The sequence below is a fragment of the Homo sapiens genome, chromosome 1 (assembly GCF_000001405.40).
Source record: "Homo sapiens chromosome 1, GRCh38.p14 Primary Assembly".
NCBI lineage: Eukaryota > Metazoa > Chordata > Mammalia > Primates > Hominidae > Homo > Homo sapiens.
Window position 1 is genome coordinate 225,598,869 of NC_000001.11, and position 22,685 is coordinate 225,621,553.

The following is a 22,685-nucleotide window of genomic DNA, read 5'->3' on the forward strand; positions in this document are numbered from 1 at the left end:
GGGTGCTAAATCACTGAGTTAGGGAGTGTTAGTTATTCAGTTTCAAAGCATCACTCTACAGTCCACTGAGTAATTAGAGAAAAGGATGTCTTTAAAATGGAGAGATCTGGTGGACACTACCTTAACAAAATAATCAAACTTAATTTCGCAATATTGGGAAAACTGCCATCAGGTGCCTCCAGATGATGGACTGAAAAGAACACATCACTAGGTAATACAATAAACAGTCCTGCCCAAAAATGTTTAGCCTGAATCCATTCATGCAAAAACAATGAAACAAATCCAAAATGAAACATATCAAAGAGAACAGATCTTTCACAAAACAACTGGCCTGGCCTCCTAAAAGTGGCAACATCAAGAAAGAAAAACAAAGCTAAAGAGAGACTGAAGAGACATGAAAATGAAATGTAATGGTAGAATCCTGAATGGAGAAAGAGGAAGGCTAAAGGGAGGACAGTAAGAAATATCATTGGGAAATCTAAGAAAATCTGGGTATGGAAAGTATATTAGATGATATTCAATTTCCAGAGTATGATAACTGTACTGTGATTATGTAGGAGAATGCCTGTGTTATTCACACTGCGGAGTAAAGTGCTGTGACTTAAATGGTTTGGATGTTTGTCCCCTCCAAATCTCAAGTTAAAATGTGATTGCTGGCTGGGTGCGGTGGCTCACACCTGTAATCCTTGCACTTTGGGAGGCTGCGGTGGGGAGATCACCTGAGGTCAGGAGTTCAAGACCAGCCTGACCAACATGGTGAAACCCCGTCTCTACTAAAAATTCAAAAAAATTAGCCAGGCGCCTGTAATCCCAGCTACTCGGAAGACTGAGGCAGGAGAATCACTTGAACCCCGGAGGCAGAGGTTGCCGTGAGCCAAGATTGCACCACTGCACTCCAGCCTGGGCGACAGGGCCGAGACTCCGTCTTAAAAAAAAAAAAAAAAAAAAAAAAAGTGACCCCCTTTATTGGAGGTGGGGCCTGAAGGAAGGTGTCTGGATCATGGGGGAGGAGGATCCCTAGGAATGGCTTGGCGCCCTCCCTGTAGTAATAAAGTAAGTTCTTGGTCTGTCAGCTCACTTGAGAGCTAGGAATGCTGGTTATTTAACGGAGCCTGGGTCCTCCTCTTCTCTCTCCCCATGTGACATGCCTACTCCCACTTCACTTTCTGCCATGAGTAAAAGCTCCCTGAGGCCTCACAAGAAACCAACCAGATACTGGCACCACACTTCCTATAAAGCCTGCAGAACCATGAGCCAATTAAACCTCTTCTCTTTATAAATTACCTAGTCTCAGCTATTTCTTTAGAGCAACACAAAATGGACTAACACTGTGACTTACTCTCAAATGGTGCACTCAACACACACGTAGAAAATGAGTAAGACCGCTATTCGGGAGACGGAGGCCGGGAGGATCACTTGAGCCCAGGAGGTCAAGGTTGCAGTGAGCCATGTTGGTGCCATTGCACTCCAGCCTGGGCAACAGTCAGACTCTGTCTAAAAAATAATAATAAATAAGAAAAAAAATAGATGCAGCTAAAGTAATGTTTAATGGGAAATTTATAGTTTTAAATCCTTATGTTAGGTTGGTGCAGAAGTAATTGTGGTTTTGCCACATTTAATGGCAAAAAACGCAATTACTTTTCCACCAACCTAATACAAAGGCCTAAAAGCAACGACCTAAGTGAGCTTCCTTCTTAAGTTAGAGAAGGCTGAGAATAGTAGCTCATGCCTGTGATCTGAGCACTTTGAGAAGCTGAGGTGGGAGGATTGCTTGAGCCCAAGGGTTCAAGACCAGCCTGGGCAACAAGGTGAGACTCTATTTCTACAAAAAAATTAAAAAATTAGCCAGGCATGTGGTGTGCGCCCGGAGTCCCAGCTACTGGGGGAAATGAGGTGGGAGGATCATTTGGGCTCAAAACTGCAGTAAGCTGTGATCACAACACTGCACTGCAGCCTGGGAGATTTAAGAGGAAAATATATAGCTTTAAACATTTACCAGGAAATAAAAAAGACTAAAAAAAAGAAAAAGAAAGAATATTAATTGGTAAAGCTATATGATGAGCAAAATAATTTTCTTTGTAACATTCTTACAACATTCTTAAAGGTCTGAAATTTTTCCCCAAAAAAAGCAAATTAAAAGGGATTTAAAAATACATGAAGAAGAGGCTATATAGTGATGAAAATGACAGCAAAATATATCTACCCACTTCAAACAGGTCTTAAAATATATTCAACAATTAACAGAACTGTCAGAGAAAAATCAACAATTACTCTTAATCAACTCTGTTCAGACTACTGATAGATCAAGCAGACAAAATATAAGCAAAAAAATTCAAGTTCTCAACAGTACAAACAGAAGGTTCCAATTACGGCCAGGCACGGTGGCTCACGCCTGTAATCCCAGCAGTTTGGGAGGCCGAGGTGGGCGGATCACGATGTCAGGAGATTGAGACCATCCTGGCTAACAGTGAAACCCCGTGTCTACTAAAAATACAAAAAATTAGCCGGGTGTGGTGGCGGACGCATGTAGTCCCAGCTACTTGGGAGGCTGAGGCAAGAGAATGGCGTGAACCTGGGAGGCGGGGCTTGCAGTGAGCCAAGATGGCGCCACTGCACGCCAGCCTGGGTGACAGAGTGAGACTCCATCTCCCCGCCAAAAAAAAAAAAAAGAGAAGGTTCCAATTACAAAATACTTATATTAAAAAAGAAAGTCCTAAAAGCAATGACCTACACTTCCTTAGGTCAAAGAAATACATCCCAATGGACGGGGATACATTTTTTTTCTCACATACCCTAAACATTTATATTACTAAACCATGTGGTAGGCACAAGGGCATACAGATTATGTTCTGATATAATACAATGAACTCAGGAATCAATAATTTTTATAAATATTCAAATTTGGAAACTAAAAAAAATATAACTTAATAACCCTTACGTTAAAAAGGAAATCAATAAAAATCAGGAAACATTTAGAAAATATATGTTAGAGCCAAGGAAGAACTTGAGGAAAATATATGGCTTTAAACATTTACCAGAAATAAGAAGGTGAAAAAAAAGAAAAGCCTAACAAAGAAAAGCCAAATAAATAAAAAGGAAAGAAATAATAAAGGACAGAAATCAATGAAAATCTAGTCCAAATGAACAATTAAGAAGATAACAAAACCAAAAGCTGTTTCTTGGTAAATATTAATAGCCTAGATAAAATTCTAGTAAGATTCATCAAGAAAAAGACAAAGAAGATCCAAAAGAAGAGAAATGACAAAATTATCAGAAGAAATAAAGAGGATTTGAATAGATTGAAAGAAAACAGGTTGAAAAACAGATCAAAAGATTAAAGCAACTGAAATGGCAATGCTCTTCTCCCAACAAAGTAAAACAAAACGAACTCCGTGATGAGACCTTTTTTTAATAGGTGGATTCTACTAAGCTTTTAAGAAACATTCTATTCTTATCTTATACAAGTTGTTTCAGAAAGTTAAAAAGAACAAAAGCTACGGTCATTTTTATCAGGCTAGTATTGAATCTAAAACCAGATAACAATGCTATAAAGTTACAGCCTAAATAAAATACTGACTAATCAAATCCAACAGTGTTTTTTTGTTGTTAATTATTAAAGGCTAAAAGAAAAAACTCAGGTGGTTATCTTGATAGAAGCAGGAAAACAACTGGACAAAAGAAGAACCTACTTAATAATTTTTTTAATCTATGCAAACCTGGAATAGAAGGGAGTTTCCTTAATTTAGCAAAGGTTATATATATATATCAAAAACGTATAACAAATATAAAATAGAGACTTCAAAAGCCTTTCCCTATGTCAACAAATATGACCATGCTGTCTAGCACAGTGCCAGACTGGCCAACACTGTAAAAAATAAGAGTGTAACATTTGAAAAGAAAGAGAGAAAACTGTCACTGCTGCTGATGACATCATCATCTATCTAGAAGAACCAAAACAATCCACAAATAGAATAACATTTCTCCACCAAAATTAATCTATAAATGTAATGCAATCTCAAATTGCCAGTTTGATTCTTTAAAGAATTCAATAAACAGCCTACAATGTTCATGCTAAAATAAAGGCTAACCAACAGCTAAATCAACCTCAAAAAAAAAAATAAACTTGCTTGACCAGATATTAAAACATACTATGAAGTATAGCCAACAGTAAGAGATATGAGCACAAAAACAAATACCCAAATAGAACTAAATGAGAACTTACTCTGGGACACAAAGAACTAAATGATAATAAAGGATTAAAAGGTACCCACAAATCAATGGCAAAAACAATAGAAATTTGTTAATGGTTCTTGGCTATCCAAAATGTGAAGACTCAACCTTTAAGCAGTCATTCTCCCTAAGTAAAAATAAATAATTAAGCAAATATTTAGAATTATATGTATAACTTCTTAAAAGCTCAAAAGTTTAACTACACCGATGGCTCTTTATTATATAGCGCTTGAGATACATACTTTAAAGCTCCTAAATTATTAAAAGAATAACCCCTGAAATAAATTGAAATATGGTAATTTGCAGCTTCTATAAAATTACTTTTATTAATTTAATAATTACACATTAACACTCAAAAATAGTCAATGAAAGTTAGAAAAAAGTGTACCTGCAAATATAACCGTGCTTTTCTCTTTCTCCAAAACTAAGCTCTGTTCATCTTTAAATTCAGTACTAGTATCAAACTTCCATTTCAAAAAGGAAAGGAACTGCTATGTTTATTCTACCACAGCCTCAAAATGTACAGAGGCATTCATTACAGGCATGCTCTGGCTACCCAAGTGCTATGAGTCATGTTTATTTTCAAAGACAACACTTTGAAATCAATCAGAAGGACTGTGAAAAAGTACATTAAGAAAAACATTGGTATCTACCAAATGTAAAGTTTTCAAAATTAGACCATCAGCCAAGATACAAACTTGTAAAACTGAAATCACTACAAAGAATTTCACAAATTTAAGTAGCTAATGGCTATGGGTTTAAATGGTCAAAATAAAAATTGCTGATCACTTAGAATCAACCACAAGGAACAAAAAAAGTATGGTGAAATCACACATGTGGTATAAAATTAATGAAATTATTACCCAGTAGCCTTTTGCATACCAGGTTTTCAGGGGTCACTCATTCTAAATCTTATTTATTCAAAACTTTTTGTGAGTGCTATAATTTCAACTAGAAACTTCTAATAAGCAAAAACTTGCATGTATGCCAAAGAATCTTTAATAACACTACACACTATGAGTAATAACACTGTCATTCTACTAATTAAACTCAAATTTAAACAAGCTACTTTCAGTGGCAGACATAAAAACCAAAATTCCTTATCACTTTGACTTTGAAAATAACACTCTTAGGAGGTATTCTGGACATAATCAAAGTCCAGGCTCTCTCACTATTTTTATTCAGTGAAGTTATTACTGTTTCTCTTAACTTTGGAAAATGTCAATGACTTGCTGAGGGAGAACAGGCAGGCAGAGCTAAAGGAGGAAAATGAGGGCTTAATATAAATGGGGGTAAATAAATAGGTGGGAAAATATGCCCCAGACAGCTATTAAACAAAGGGAGACTACTATTGTGTGCCTTATCCACTAGAAAAAAACAATATTTTAAAATTGTACAAATGTGGCCAGGCGCAGTGGCTCACGCCTGTAATCTCAGCACTTTAGGAGGCCGAGGCGGGCAGATCACTTGAGGTCAGGAGTTCGAGACCAGCCTGGCCAACATGGTAAAACCCCGTCTCTACCAAAAAAAAAAAAAAAAAAAAAATTAGCCAGGCATGGTGGTGGGTGCCTGTAGTCCCAGCTACTTGGGAGGCTGAGGCAGGAGAATCGCTTAAGCCCATGAGGCAGGGGTTGCAGTAAGCCGAGATTGCGCCATTGCACTCCAGCCTGGGCAACACAGCAAGACCCTGTCTCAAACAAAAACAAACAAAAAAAGGACAATTGATAAAAGATTTAGAGAGGGCTGATAAAGATATGAAAAACATTAAAGCTAGCTAGTAAAGAAATGCAAGTTAAATAAAACAAGATATCCTTTTAGACTTTGATACTTAGGAGAAAACAGTAATGTTAGAGTGGGAAAAGGGCATCCTCATACCTTGCTGATAAAAAAGCAAAGGCTCTTGTCCTTATGCATCAAGAACCTTTGAAACGTGAATATCCACTGACTCAGCAGATTACACTTCTGTAGGTTTCACTTAAAGCATGTAAAATGTTAAACTGAACTACATGATGATTGGAAATTCTGACAAGCGACTGGGTAAATACAATTGTAGATTGAATCTTAAGAAACTGCTGATATTCAACCACTTGTGAATAGAAAGACTAAGCAATTTTAAAATGATACATATCTACACTCGAAATTGACACCTTCTGATATTAAATAAGGGGGAAGGATACAAAACACTACTTTGGGGAGTGGGGGAGAGAAAAGACCAGTAAGAACATAATATTTAGAAGTCAACTCGATGTCAGGCACTTTTAACATACATCGTCCTTAATTTCTTACCATCATTCTGTGATGTACAGTTACTCCCAGTTCATAGATTTGGAAGCAAGTCTCAGAGAAGTTACAAAAATTTAGGGAACTATTAAGAGGCAAGGCTAGAGTTCAAACCAGGCCTACCTATCTGACTACAATGTCCGAGTTATTTCCACTTCATCACACTAATACATTCCTTTCTGAAGTGTATCAGAAATGATACTCCTTTAAATGCATGAGATAATAAAAATATTTGTTATGTGCTGAGCTGTGCCCCTCCAACACCCACCAAATTCACATGTGAAAATCCTTACCCCCATTACCTCAGAATGTGACTGTATTTGAAGACAGGGCCTTAAAGAGGTAACTGAGGTAAACTGAGTATACAGGTGGGCCCTAATCCAATATGAATGGTGCCCTTATAAGAAGATTAGGACAGACACACACAGAGGGAAGATCACTGTGGACAGAGAAGGAGAGCCATCTGCAAGCCAAGAAAGAGGCTTCAGAAGGAACCAACCCTGCCAACACCTTGACCTTCTAGCCTTCAGAATTGTGAGGAAAGTACTGTTTAAGCCACTGGGTCTGTGGTATTTTGTCATGGCAGCCCTAGCAAACTACTACAACACTCTTACCTAAAAATACTGAACATCTTAAAAACCTAAACCTCACATTCCCCTTTTATTATTATTTTTTAATGTTCCTTTTGGATAGATTATGCTTAAAATACCAAAATGGAATTTTTCACAAATACTTTTAATGTTATATTAGACCATTAAAAAAAATACACCTGAATGTGACCTATTAGAATTACCATATTTTGGCCAGGTGCAGTGGCTCATGCCTGTAATCCCAGCACTTTGGAAGGCCGAGGCAGGTGGATCATCTGAGTTCAGGAGTTCGAGACCAGCCTGGCCAACACAGCAAAACCCCATTTCTACTAAAAATATAAAAATTAGCCATGCGTGGTGGCAGGCACCTGTAATCCCAGCTACTCGGGAGGCTGAGGCAGAATTGCTTGAACCCAGGAGGCAGAGGTTGCAGTGAGCTGAGAACGCACCACTGCACTCCAGCCTGGGCAACACAGAGCAAGACTCCATCTCAAAAAAAAAAAAAAAGGAATTACCATATTTTAACATATTAGTTGATAAGCACTCGTACAATCTAGTTAAGCTATAATGTAGTCCATTCAAAATAAGTCAACTTTTGGCCAGATGCAGCGGTTCACGCCTATAATTCTAACACTTTGGGAGGCCAAGGCAGGCAGATCAGTTGAGGCCAGGAGACCAGCCTTAGTCAACATGGCAAAACCTCATCTCTACTAAAAATGCAGAAACTAGCTGGACGTGGTGGAGTGCACCTGTAGTCCCAGCTACTTGAGAGGCTGAGGTAGGAGAATCCCTTGAACCCAGGAGGCAGGGATTGCAGTGAGCCAACATAACACCACTACACTCCATCCTGGACGACAGTGCAAGACTCTGTCTCAAAAAAAAAAAAAAAAAAAAAAAAAAATTATTTTCAATAAACTTAACCAATCACAAAACTAGCCCTTCTCACACAAATCCAATAAAATAACTACGTACAGCCCAAGGTCCTGAATAATGCAGCTGAGAGTGCCAGGCACACAGACCTGTGAAGGCCTCACCACAATAGCTCACCTTTTCCTCGGCAGAGTGGAGCAGAGTGTTTCTTACAAGTCCAACACTAAATAATAAATAATTTATAAATGCAGAGACTACAAACAAACAGAAGAGGACACTACAGCAGACTCTAGATCAGGAGTGTGCAATCTTTTGGCTTCCCTGGGCCACACTGGAAGAAGTGACTTGGGCCACACGTAAAATACACTAACAACAACGACAGCTGATGAGCTTAAAAAAAACAAATCGCAAAACAAAAATCTCATGTTTTAAGAAAGTTTACGAATTTGTGTTGAGCCACATTCAAAGCCATCCTGGGCCACATGTGGCCCACAGGCCATGGGTTGGACAAGCTTGCTCTAGATATAAGCACAATTTTGAAAGCCGAAAAGCAGATGGATTAGAGGTAACTGACTTAGTAGGCTGAAGAAAACAGAAACTGTCTAGCAGAATTACTGAGGGAATGTACCAAGAATAAAGCCTAGAAAAGTTCAGGAATCCAGAGCAGGGTGGGGGGCAAAAAAAAAAAAAAAAAACACCTGGTTGAAATTCTAGATACGGAGCCATTCATCGAAATCCCAGATATCATAACCCAAACAATGCCATCAGACACTCAGCCCATTACTCTGGGAAGTTTACACAGGAGAGACTGTAAACAAAGGCATTCTGAGGGAGGTATGATGGGGATTAAATGCAAGCCTAAATACTGAATGATAACTTACCACCCACCCACCACCCTCCTTTTCCCCAATTCACCACAGAATTCTGGCAGTCAAGCTTAGACAGGAAAACAAAACAGCCTAAAAAAGAGAGACCTGGAGACACTGACAGCTGAGGGTCCCCACGGAAAGCCAGATTCACCAGTTCATCCCTCAGAGAGGAAGACCATGTCACAGGCCCATACCATGGAAAGACTTCCCAACTTGCTTTAAAAATAAAAACTTTTTTAAAAGCCTCAGGCTTAAGTCTGAACAGATAGGCAAGGAACATCAAACATTTAAGAAAACCTTTAATTTGAAAGATAGGAATCAAAACAGAGCAAGGGAAAAAAAGAAACAACGCAAGGAACAGAATCATAATATCCTCAAAGGGTCGAAAAAAAGATACGCATCCGTGAAATAAGAATGATTAAAAGAAACATTCATAAAACAAAAGAAAAGCTTTTCAAATTAAAGACAGCAGAAACTTTAAATCCAATAAAGGAGTTGGAATATAAAAAACAGAAAAAAAAAAAAAAAAAAGACAAAATCAGACAGCAAAGAGTAGATAAAAGAATTCAGAAGACCCAAAAACCCCCTAACAAGGAGTTCTCCCTTTTCAGAGTCCATTACCAAAGAAACAACTTTCTAAGCATTGAAGGGCATGTTTCTAAAATAAAAAGATCCATCAAGGGCACAGCACAACAGACTTTTTTTTTTTTTTAAACAAAGACTCACATTAAGAAATATCATTATAAAATTTCAGAACACCAGGAATAAGAGAAGATCCTAAAGGTTTCCAGAAAGAAAAAAACAGCTTTCTTATAAGGGTCTTGGAGGCCAGGCACCGTGGCTCACGCCTGTAATCTGAGCACTTTGGAAGGCAGAGGCGGGCAGATTACCTGAGGTCAGGAGCTCGAGACCAGCCTCATCAACATGGCGAAACCCCGTCTCTACTAACAATACAAAAATTGGCCAGGTGTGATGGCAGGCACCTGTAATCCCAACCACTCAGGAGGCTGAGGCAGGAAAATCGCTTGAACCCGGGAGGCGGAGGTTGCAGTGAGCAGAGATCACACCATTGCACTCCATCCTGGGCGACAGAGCGAGACTCTGTCTCAAAAAAAAAAAAAAAAAAAAAAAAAAGGAGGGGGGTCTTGGAATCAAAATGACATCAGACTTTTCAGAGCAACTCTAGAAACAAGTCACTTGAGTAATGCCTTCAAAATTTTGAAGAAAAATAATTTCCAACCTTGACTTGTAAATACAGCCAAGTTATCTATCAAGAGTAGGCTCTAATAGATATTCTTAAATATTCTAAGTCTCAAAGAATTTGCTTCCCATGCTTTATTTCTAAGGGAGCTACAATGAAAAGCAACAGAATAAGGCTGAAAGAATTCCCATGAAAATGGTAAAAATCCCACTCCAGGAAGCAAGCCAAGAAGGCAATCAGTTCAACTGGAACACAAAGTTAGAGGTATCCAAAATAAAAAAAAAAGAAACTGAAAGATTACCTGATGTGTTTATTATATTAAAAGGAGAGTTAAACTTTAGTAGTATAGTCTGAGCTGAGTAAGTGATGAATGCATGGAAAACAAATAAACACAAAGATTCATTAAATCCAGCTAAAACAAAAAGCTGTTTCAAAAAAAAAAAGTAACCATATTAAAATAGTACACAGCATGGCTCCAATGTGAATAGTTATATAAACTTTGATTAACCAAAATTGGTTATATAACCATATAGAGAAGATGGAAAGTATGCATCGTGGGGAGGAGAATGTAAAACAGCTAAACCACTATCTTCCATCATGGCAAGTCAAAAGATAAATCTAAAATTGAAACAGTCAAAAAAGGTTAGTTTAAACACGTTATCTGGAAATTAAAAACTACCAAAGAAATATGTCAGTTGATAGTGGTTCCTCTTGAGAGCTGGATTCTAGCAGGAAAGGGAAAAATGGATTTTTTTTTTTTTTTTTTTTTTTTTTTTGAGATGGAGTCTCTCTGTCGCCCAGGCTGGAATGCAGTGGCACGATCTTGGCTCACTGCAACATCCACCTCTCAGGTTCAAGTGGTTCTCATGCCCAGCCTCCTGAGTATCTGGGAGCACAGGCATGCGCCACCATCCCCAGCTAATTTTTTATATTTTTAGTAGAGACAGCGTTTTGCTATGTTGGCCAGGCTGGTCTGAACTCCTGGCCTCAAGTGATCCGCCTGCCTCAGCCTCCCAAAGTGCTGGGATTACAGGCATGAGCCACCGCGCCCGGCCTACTTTTTTTATTAGCCTTGTAAAACTACATGACTATATAAATTATTAATATGTACATGTATACCACATGATAAAAATTAAATTTTTAAATCATGCTCTAATTTTTTAAAACCATGCTTTAGAATAATATTTAATTACAGAGGAAAGTATTCACAGTATATTTAGGGGAAATCACATTATAGAACATTATGTTCAATAAAAAAAAAAAACTAGCATTGCCTAAAAACAAACAGGAAGTGTATGTACTAACGTGATTTTCTCTCAAGTAGTGACATTATTTTGATTTTCTTATGTAACTTTCAAATGTTTTATAATATGTACGCATTATTTTGTAATTTTAAAAGAAAATAAGAAAAGATAGAGAAGTTTACTAGAGCTCAAAGATCAAACAATTAAAACAATATTGCTTTCTGTTCCAGTTAGTCTCTAGGACCTACTGTGGGGTTATAATAAATTTGTGATTTTATAATTACTATAAAAATATTGGGGGATACTCTTAACATTTGGTAAGAAAAGAACGATAGGTCCCCAGTAAAAAAAATTCTTTTTTTTCCCAAGTATGCTTGCATTTCATTCATCTTAAACTTCATACCAAGATTATGTGACTCAAGAGAGCTGACTTCCAATTTTAAAACTCTGGATGAAGGGGTCACAATCCAAACTTAAAACTAACCAAATAAATGAACAAAAGAAAACCACTTACAACTTCTCCATGCCTAAACAGAACTAAAATTAAAAGAAAAAAAAGAAACAGCCAACAAAGTAGAGGAATTATTTACACCAATGGCGACATTTTAACGCTAGTACGATCAACCACTCCAAAAGCTGTATTTGGCCCACATACACGCTCAAGAAAAAACAAATAGCAGAATATTCACGACATTATAAGATCCAAAAACTGCAACCAATCCAAATGTCCATCAACCTTAGAATGAATAAACTAGTATTTCACACAATAGAATAAAATGAATGATACAGATGAACGGCACAGATCTAACGTTAGGCCGAAAAAGGCAGATACAGAATATGTTCTATGTGATTCTATTCACATGAGTACAAAAGCAGGCAAAACTAATTGACGCTGTTCTGGGTCAGGTGGGGTTACTCTTTGGTGAAAGACTGTGACTAGAAGAGGGCATAAAGTGATGGTTACACATGTGTACTGAGTTGGTGCTATGTGCCCTTTTCTGTACATCTTATATTTCAATAAAAATTTCAAGTTGAAAAAAGATAATAGTCCCTGTAATCCCAGCACTTTGGGAGCCAAAGGTGGAAGGACTGTATGAGCCTGGGAGTTCTAGACCAGCCTGGGCAACCTTGTCTCTACCAAAAAAAAAAATTTATTTATTTATTTACGTATTTATTTATTTATTGAGACAGAGTCTTGCTCTGTTGCCCAGGCTGGGGTGCAGTGGCGCGATCTCTGGTCACTGCAACCTCTGCCTCCCAGATTCAAGTGATTCTCCTCCCTCAGCCTCCTGAGTAGCTGGGACTACAAGCGTGCATCACCACGCCCAGCTAATTTTTATATATTTTGTAGAGATGAGGTTTCACTATGTTGGCCAGGCTGGTCTTGAACTACTGACCTCGGGTGATCCACCTGCCTCGAGCCTCCCAAAGTGCTGGGATTACAGGCATGAGCTACCTTGCCCAGACAAAAAAAAAATTTTTTAATTAGCCAGGTGTGGTGGCCCACATCTTTGGTCCTGGCTACTCAGGAGGCTGAGGTGGGAGGATCAGCTGAGCCCAGGAGGTCAAGGCTGCAGTGAGCTGTGTTCACACCACTGCACTCCAGCACAGGTGACAGAGTGAGAAAAAGATAATACTCAACGGCCAACAAGCACATGAAGAGATGCTGAACATTTTTAGTCATTAGGGAAATGAAAATAAAAAACCACAATGAAATCAAAAATCACACTCACTAGGATGGCTATCATAAAAAACAAAACACAAAAAATTTAAAAATAATGTATTCGTGAGGATATGGAGAAATTAAAACCCTCATCCACTGCTGGTGAGAATGTGAAATCACACAGCCAACGGGGAAACCAGTTTGGCCAGTCCTCAATGAGCTAAATGGAAAATTACCTATCATGTAACCCGGCCAATTCCACTCCTAGATATATGTCCGAAAAAACTGAAAACAGGTATTCAAATACTTATACATAAATCTTCATAGCAGCTCTATTCACAAGAGCTAAATGGTGGAAATGACCCAATGTCCATCAAGAGATGAATAAATAATCAAAATGTGGTATATCCAAACGATGGAATATTAGCCATAAAAAGGGAAGACGTACTGACACTGCTATGACACGGATGAACCCTGAAAACTTTATGCTTAGTCACAGAAGCCAGACACAAAAAGCCATGTACTATATAATTCCATTTACATGGAATGTCCAGAATAGGCAAATCCATGGAGACAGAAAGCAGATTCATGGCTGCCAGGGGTTGATGGGGAACAGGGATTGGGAAATGATTGCTTGGTGGGTACAAGGTTTTCCACTTAGGGTGATGAAAAAGTTCTGGAAGTAGATAGTGGCAATGGTTGCACAACACTGTGGATTTATTTAATGCCACAGAATTGTACACTTTTAAATGGTTACCATGGTAAATTTTATGTTATCTGCATTTTCCCACAGCAAAAAAAATTTTCAAAACAAAAATAATACTTAATGCTGGCCAGGATACAGTAAACACTCTCTACACTTTGGTAATTGGAACATAAACTAAAGCTTTTGCCAAATATTCTGGCAATAAATACTAAATAATTCATATCTTTGCCCCAGTTTATATTTTGCCTTCTGAGGACCAACCGTAAGAAGCAAAAAAGTTTTATATCCAAAGTGCTCACTGTAATACTTACAATAATGCAAAAAAAAGGGGGGGAGGAGGGATCTAAATGCCAAACTATTGGGGAATGGGTAAGTCAACCACGATACATTTACAAAATTAATTGTGTCAACACTAAAAATGTTTACTAAGGTATGAAATGAAGAATGTTTATATTATGAAGCAAATATTAAAACAGCAGAATACAAATTCTAAAAATACAAGCCAAAGTATACATCTACAAAGACTCAGTATGTGTCCTATGGTTTTGCTACGGACACTATTTTCTTCCTACTTTCTGTCCCTTGAACAAAGCAAGCTCATTTTCATTGCAAGGCCTTTGGACCTCTTCTGCTTAGAGTACTCTTTTCCCTGCTCTCCAATGACTGCCTCCTCATCTTTCAGAGCAACTCAAACGTCCCTCCCTAAGAAGCCTTCCGTGACCACCCCAACCAAGTTAGGCCTTGCCTTCACCACCCATCTTTTCTCACTACACATTTTATCTTTTTCACACTTACTGAGAATAACAGACTTATTGGTACATCCTTCTCCTCCATTCAGCTACCAGAATGTAAGCCCCCTGGGTACATGACTTGTTTAACACCATTTCCCCAGGGCAGAGAACAGTGCCTGGTGGTAATAATAAATATTTGTGAAGATAATAAATATTTGTTGATTAACTTGTTCCTTCTACTTTTTCAGTTTGTCAATTTTATGTGTAATAAGCACATATTTTATTTTTAACACTATTTTTAAATATACAACTAGATCAACAAACAACACTTATTGAACCAAAGAAAATGTGTAACTTTGCTAGATATTTTCTGAGAACAAAGCAAAGGTCTGGTTCAGCCATAACAACAAAAATAACTAATTATAAACTCTTCCTAATAAGGGATAATGCTCTACTACACCTTATAGCATATTTTATTATTAAAGATGGGGAAAAAAACAGTGTTTTTTCTACTCTCACACAACACACTCCTGACACCAGATTCTCTGGCAGACACTAAGTGAGTTATGATTTAACTCAATTCTGACACTATGTGGAAATAACATCACATCCCATAGGTTAAGGGATCAGTCCCAGAAGACCACCCCAACTTCTAATGCCAATCTCATGCCCCAGGTTGTGACCTGTGCTTCTGGCCCAATAGCTCTAAATCAGGGTTCCCATAAGCTCTCCCCAGAGTTTAATTTGCTAGAGCAGCTCACAGAACTCAGGAAAACACTTTACTTATGTTTACCCATTTATTAGAAAGATTTTTTTTTTTTTTTGAGATGGAGTCTCATTCTGTCGCCCAGGCTGGAGTGCAATGGCACAATCTCGGCTCACTGCAACCTCCACCTACTGGGTTCAAGTGATTCTCCTGCCTCAGCCTCCTAAGTAGCTGGGATTACAGGCGCCCACCACCATGCACAGCTAATTTTTGTATTTTTAGTAGAGACGGGGTTTCCCCATGTTGGCAAGGATGGTCTCGAACTCCTGACCTCAGGTGATCCACCCACCTCGGCCTCCCAAAGTGCTGGGATTACAGGTGTGAGCCACTGTGCCCAGCCAATACTAATATTTTAAAGGATACAAATGAATAGCCAGACGAAGAGACACATGGGGAAGGTCTGGAAGGGTCCTAAGAGCAAGAGTTTCTGATCTCCTGTACCTGGGATGTACCCCCAATCGCTGCACTTGGATGTGTTCTTGCTCATCCATCTGGAAGCTCTCCAGACTCTATCCTTTGGGTTTGTATAGAGGCTTCATTATGTAGACATGACTGATTAAATCACTGGCCACTGGTTATCAACTCATCCTTCAGGCTCTTCCCCTTCCCCTCCCAGGAGATAGGTTGGTTGCTTCTCCTAGCAACCAGCTCCCCCACCCTGAAGCTATCCAGGAGCCCCAGCCACCAGTCATCTCATTAGCATACAAAAAGACATTTATTACAGTACTTTGGTCAGTCCAAGGGTTTTAAGAGCTGTGTGCCAGGAACCAGGAACAGAGACCAAATATGTATTTCTTATTATATTACAATACCACATTTACCTATTTTCACTCAGAAACCTGTCTCAAATTTCCGATTCCATAAGGTAAGTAACCCTTCCTCCAACACCAATCCTACCTCTATTCCACAACCTCAATACCCTTCTCCATACACAAATCCTTAAGAGTAATACTTTTCTCCCTCTCCCTCTCCCCGGTCTCCCTCTCCCTCCACGGTCTCCCTCTGATGCCCTCTCCCCGGTCTCCCTCTCCCTCTCCCTCTCCCTCTCTCTCCACGGTCTCCCTCTGATGCCGAGCGGAGGCTGGACTGTGCTGCCGCCATCTCGGCTCACTGCAACCTCCCTGCCTGATTCTCCTGCCTCAGCCTGCGGAGTGCCTGGGATTGCAGGCGCGCGCCGCCACGCCTGACTGGTTTTTGTATTTTTTCGGTGGAGACGGGGTTTCGCCGTGTTGGCCCGACTGGTCTCCAGCTCCTGACCGCGAGTGATCTGCCTGCCTCGGCCTCCCGAGGTGCCGGGATTGCAGACGGAGTCTCCCTCACTCAGTGCTCAATGGTGCCCAGGCTGGAGTGCAGTGGCGTGATCTCGGCTCGCTACAACCTCCACCTCCCAGCCGCCTGCCTTGGCCTCCCAAAGTGCCGAGATTGCAGCCTCTGCCTGGCCGCCACCCCATCTGGGAAGTGAGGAGCGTCTCTGCCTGGCCGCCCATTGTCTGGGATGTGAGGAGCCCCTCTTCCCGGCCGCCCAGTCTGGGAAGTGAGGAGCGCCTCTTCCCGGCTGCCAGCCCGTCTGGGAAGTGAGGAGCGTCTCTGCCCGGCCGCCCGGCGTCTGAGATGTGGGGAGCGCCTCTGCCCCGCCACCCCGTCTGGGATGTGAGGAGCGCCTCTGCCCAGCCGCGACCCCGTCTGGGAACTGAGGAGTGTCTCTGCCCGACCGCCACCCCGTCTGGGAGGTGAGGAGCGTCTCTGCCCGGCCGCCCCGTCTGAGAAGTGAGGAGCCCCTCTGCCCGGCCGCCACCCCGTCTGGGAGGTGTACCCAACAGCTCATTGAGAACGGGCCATGATGACGATGGCGGTTTTGTCGAATAGAAAAAGGGGGAAATGTGCGGAAAAGAAAGAGAAATCAGATTGTTACTGTGTCTGTGTAGAAAGAAGCAGACATAGGAGACTCCATTTTGTTCTGTACTAAGAAAAATTCTTCTGCCTTGGGATGCTGTTAATCTATAACCTTACCCCCAACCCCGAGCTCTCTAAAACATGTGCTGTGTCCACTCAGGGTTAAATGGATTAAGGGCGGAGCAAGATGTGCTTTGTTAAACAGATGCTTGAAGGCAGCATGCTGGTTAAGAGTCATCACCACTCCCTAATCTCAAGTACCCAGGGACACAAACACTGCGGAAGGCCGCAGGGTCCTCTGCCTAGGAAAACCAGAGACCCTGTTCACATGTTTATCTGCTGACCTTCCCTCCACTATTGTCCTATGACCCTGCCAAATCCCCCCTCCGAGAAACACCCAAGAATGATCAATAAATACTTAAAAAAAAAAAAAAAGAGTAATACTTTGAAATAGTCACATTTAAGGCATGAGAATTATTTCAGACTCACTGGTGACAATATGTCAATATTAAATAATGTTGAGAAAAAAATTTAATGAATGAGTTTATTCATACAAGTAAATTTCAAATTAAAATACATTTAAAAAGGAACCTAACTACAACTACTCTATGTTGATGTATGGTTGAAATGCGGATTCACAAGTACATGTTATATATAGTATTTATAATTATATATTGCATCTATATATAAAAATTGAAGATAAAATATTCTTCTAGGAAAAGATAAGCTAATTGAGATGCTCAAAAATCAAAAGTGATACCACCAATCAGAACTACAAAGTCAATCTAAATATCTCTGGAGGTGGTAATTCCAGACTCCAATAAAATACAAGCATTCAAAATTTATGGTTACTGAGTTTCTACTAGTGATTGGAAAACTAACTCCACCCATTAAATTAAGATTTGAAACCAGGCATGGTGGCTCAGGCCTGTAATCCCAACACTTTGCGAGGCTGAGGCGGGCAGATCACCTGAGGTCAGGAGTTCAAGACCAGCCTGGCCAAGTGGAGAAATCCTGTCTCTACTAAAAATACAAAAACTAGCCAGAGGTGGTGGCAGGCACCTGTAATCCCAGCTACTCGGGAGGTTGAGGCAGGAGAATCGCTTGAACCTGGGAGGCAGAGGTTGCAGTGAGCCAAGATCATGCCACTGCACTCCAGCCGGGGCAACACAGCAAGGCTCCATCTCAATTAAAAAAAAAAAAAGATTTGAAGATGTCCAACTTAAGTGCTGACCTCAGATCAACAAATGCAAATGCATTATCAGACACGAAAAAGAAAAGGACATTTCCATCTGTCTTCCTTATAGTTAGTTGAAATATACATGTCCACTGACAACTATGACATTACTTCTAAAAGTGAATTTAAATTCTATTCACAAAATAACAACCTAACCAAATAAGCAAATATGTAAGTGTACTTCCAGGCCCTATACATTATCCTTTCATACCACAAAAGACGTTCTAGTACTGAGTGACAGCTTTTAGACTATGCTTAGATAGAAATTGGGGTTACTAGGATCCTGGCTCAGGATTTAGACACATTATCTGATACATAAAGGTCAGCATAAACCCAAATTAAAAGCACCCATTGCAGGTTCTTATATCTGTGGTATTAAAAAAGTATTTTTTAAAAAACTGAAAGGATCTTAGCTGTACAGTGCTAAGTGGACAGTGTGGTGACAGGATGGCAATTAATTTAGTCTCTTCCTTAAACTCAACTTAATTTGTATCATCACAACTGGTCAGAGGTATGATTCACGCATGCAACTCCAACTCACTAGTAAGCTTAGGAATAGCCAGCTAAGTAAATTTTACTACTAATGCTTCCAAAGGTCATTAGAATTTACATTCCAACACACAATATGAATAAATCTCATGTGATACTGCCATCTAAACCATCAGAAAGCACCTTAAGTCTCTCCCCTTACCAAAATGGTTAGATAATATACAGCTAATTTTGAACTGAAAGGTTCTGTTACCACCAACCTATGATTAAATCCTGAGCAAAATCTTAAGGGAAGGCATAACATTTTTAATTGTTCATCGTAGCTATCAATTATTCTTTCAAGGAAGCTCTCTTAAAAGAGGAAAGTTATCAGTCAGAAGCATTACCAGCCAGAACTAAGTGAATGTAACTGGAATGAGCAGGAAAACATTTATCCTTGAGGCAAAGGAACATAATTTCAGGAACCAGGAGGCAGATTTCCACTACATACCAACTTGCACCTAATCCCAAACAGATTGTTCAACAGCTGTTGCCCTTGCCAAACTGGTCTCCATTCTCATCCAAACATCCCCCGGAGGAAAATGACAATTCCCTGAAAGCAATCAGCCTTACTAGCAATCAACTTTTCCAAAAACTGGGGAGAAAGAAAAAGTGAACCATGGGCCAATATCCCTAAAACCTAATAAAACAATATCCTGCCAGCAGCTCTTTATATGAAAGGTTCACGCATCTCACTTAAAAAAGAATGGTCATCCAGATACAAAATTGGCCACAGGGACTTCTTTCAATCATCTAGTGGCCAATTTGGAACCTTTTTCTCCTCACCTCTCCAAGATAGTACAGCACAGAAAAAAAGGGGAAGATAATCACCTCTCTGTTCCTACTATCAACTTCTGCTTCATATTCACTAATACGTAGTTCACTGATCCTAGACAGGTGCTCAGAACTGTCTCCACCCATTCCACAAATCTATCAAGTGCCTACCTACCAGTCTTTCTTGTTTTCCTCTGAAATATAGATGAATTCTCAGTGATCACTCTACAAAAACTCAACTTAGAAAGTTTCATGTTCTACTTAAAACACTTAAATGAGAACACTATCTCTGTGCTTTAGGTTTTCTGTTTTTAACCACCTTTATACCAGCAACTACCAGGAATCACCTTTAAAAAAATTCCAAAGGATTCTACTCTATACTAAATTACATTGCGTTACATGCAGGTAAAGGAAAGACATGAGCCAGAGTTCAGAGGAGTTTGATGGCACCAGTGGAGAGAGAGAAGGCCTACTTTCTGGCCCACAATAGGAGGGCAAAAGGTTAAAGAAGTCCGAGGACCCCTACAATGGCTTACCTTCTATCCCCAAGATGCCAAGCCTACATCAATTCATCTCCCAAATCAGCATTACTCAAATGTTTAAGGCCTGTGATAAATAAATACACTGCATATACAACCCAGTACACACACACACACACACAAATGCACAGACACTAAATGTTTCATGAAACACTTGCCATTACCATGTGCAATGTTTCCTGAATATTTTCTATTGTCTTTCATTTGTGATAAATCCTGTTAAAAACCTACAGTTAGAAAAACTAACCTACAGTTAGCAAAACACCACCCTTGCCAATCACGGTGGGTCACGCCTGTAATCCCAGCACTTTGGGAGGCCAAGGCGGGCAGATCACTTGAGGTCAGGAGTTTGAGACCAGCCTGGCCAACATGGTAAAACCCTGTTTCTACTAAAAAATACTAAAATTAGCTGGGCATGGTGGCAAGCACCTGTAGTCCCAGCTACTCGGGAGGCTGAGGCAGGAGAATCACTTGAACCTGAGAGGCAGAGGTTGCAGTGAGCTGAGATCCTGCCACTGCACTCCTGCCTGGGCAACAGAGTAAGACCCCATCTCAAAAACAGAAAAGAGAAACACCACCCTAAAATACTCCCACCTCCCTAGTCTTATTTTGGGGATCAGGGGAAGGAGGATGACTATAGAGAGAAAACCCATCAGAAACTTGGGATTAAGGAGAATCCCTGGGGCAGAAGGGCCTTCAGTCTCAGACATCCCAATTTAAAACCCTGAATGGTCTCAGAGAAATGCTTTTAAAACACAGCTATCAGGTCAATTCTGCAGTCTCAGTGTCTTCCCAAATAAATTATAGACATCAAATGTCTGGTGATACCAAAAACTACTTGTACCCTAAAAGTATTGAAATAAAAAGTACATAAATGATAATAAATTTTAAAAATTCACTAAGCTAAAAAAAAATGTCTGGTGATAATTAAATGTACCGGATTGAACCATGTGAAACTGCCAACATCTGGTGATCTGTGACTTCCAAAAACAGTAATTTCTTACAGTTTAGCCTAATAGTGTAACACATACTTCAAGGATACGATGCATTAAATGGCCTTGTGTGTACTACTTGAGAACGTACTAGCCCTCATTATAACACAGTTCCCACAGAAAGATATGTGCTAAGCTCCTACCAAAAATCTGATTTGAAAGCTGGAACTATCTGCAATTAAGATGTAATGTGATCTAGTATCTCTGAATGCTTTTCAATGTGACCACCAGCGGTTTCAACACTTCGTCACTAGAAAAGTACCAGGCCTCGCGCGGTGGTTCACACCTGTAATCCCAGCACTTTGGGAGGCCGCGGCAGGTAGATCACAAGGTCAGGAGATTGAGACCAGCCTGGCCAACATGGTGAAACCCCGTATCTACCAAAAATACAAAAATTAGCTGGGCGTGGTGCCACATGCCTGTAGTCCCAGCTACTTGGGAAGCTGAGGCAGAAAAGAAAAATCGCTTGTACCCAGGGGGCGGAGGTTGCAGTGAGCCAAGATCGGCCACTGCACTCCAGCCTGGGTAATAAGAGCAAAACTGTCTCAAAAATGTCCCAGGCCTCTAATACAAACCCACTACTTTTCCATGCAACTTGGGATACTTGATTCATTCTTGTTTTCACACAATTACCAAATCTGGAGCCTCAATCTCAGCCTGCTACTTTCTATCAGATCTATCTTATTTTCTGAAGGTATGTTCACTTCAATCAGATCATAAGCTCCTTAAATGTGGAGATAGGGCCGGGTGCAGTGGCTCACACCTGTAATCCCAGCACTTTGGGAGGCCAAGGTGGGCGGATCACCCAAGGTCAGGAGTTCAAGACCAGCCTAGCCAACATGGTGAAACCCCGTATCTACTAAAAATACAAAAATTAGCTGGGCATGGTGGCGGGCGCCTGTATTCCCAGCTACTCAGGAGGCTGAGGCAAGAGAATCGTTTGAACCTGGGAGGCAGAGACTGCAGTCAGCCGCCATCTCACCACTGCACTCCAGCCTGGGTAACAGAGCTAGACTCCATCAAAAAAAAAGAAAAAAAAGTGTGGAGATAGTCCTTTGTAGTCTTTGAAAGCCTCCTTCCTTATGGTGATATACTATCATTTGATAAAATGTGTCCCGAATTAAAACAAATCTCCTTGGGAAAATCTTCACCCATGTCCACTTGCCTAATCATCTTTTTAAGAGTGACAATGCTATCATCCTATTACCAAATTCCAGAACCTTGGTGTGACCTTTCACACCAACCATTCTCATTATACTTATCACCCTTCTGACTCAGTATGGCCATGGGAATTACTTCTTTAAATCTATCTCTCTTTTTTTTTTTTTTGAGACGCAGTCTCGCTCTGTCGCCCAGGCTGGAGTGCAGTGGCGGGATCTCGGCTCACTGCAAGCTCCGCCTCCCGGGTTCACGCCATTCTCCTGCCTCAGCCTCCCAAGTAGCTGGGACTACAGGCGCCCGCCACTACGCCCGGCTAATTTTTTGTATTTTTAGTAGAGACGGGGTTTCACCGTTTTAGCCGGGATGGTCTCGATCTCCTGACCTCGTGATCCGCCCGCCTCGGCCTCCCAA

General features: G+C 40.3%; 1 protein-coding gene across 35 annotated transcripts in view, besides 1 other annotated feature; it reads right to left on the reverse strand.

The window, feature by feature from the left end:
- The window catches only part of ENAH (ENAH actin regulator), a 167,050-nt gene that overhangs the window by 112,040 nt on the left and 32,325 nt on the right, over positions 1 to 22,685 (reverse strand). Inside the window, exon 1 of one of the 35 annotated variants that reach the window (XM_024448316.2) lies at positions 1,340 to 21,854. The exons of the other annotated variants lie outside the window; for them this stretch is intronic. The gene's annotated coding sequence lies outside the window, so the exon portion shown is untranslated. Of the gene's footprint in view, positions 1 to 1,339; positions 21,855 to 22,685 lie in introns of those variants that run through there. 35 annotated transcript variants of the gene reach the window in all.
- Positions 15,858 to 16,688: an enhancer, noted in NCBI's record as "H3K27ac-H3K4me1 hESC enhancer chr1:225802428-225803258 (GRCh37/hg19 assembly coordinates)". NCBI's record gives its function as "activates a minimal SCP1, AML or CMV promoter by ChIP-STARR-seq in naive H9 embryonic stem cells {active_cell/tissue: H9 hESC(naive)}" and the evidence as "EXISTENCE:reporter gene assay evidence [ECO:0000049][PMID:30033119]".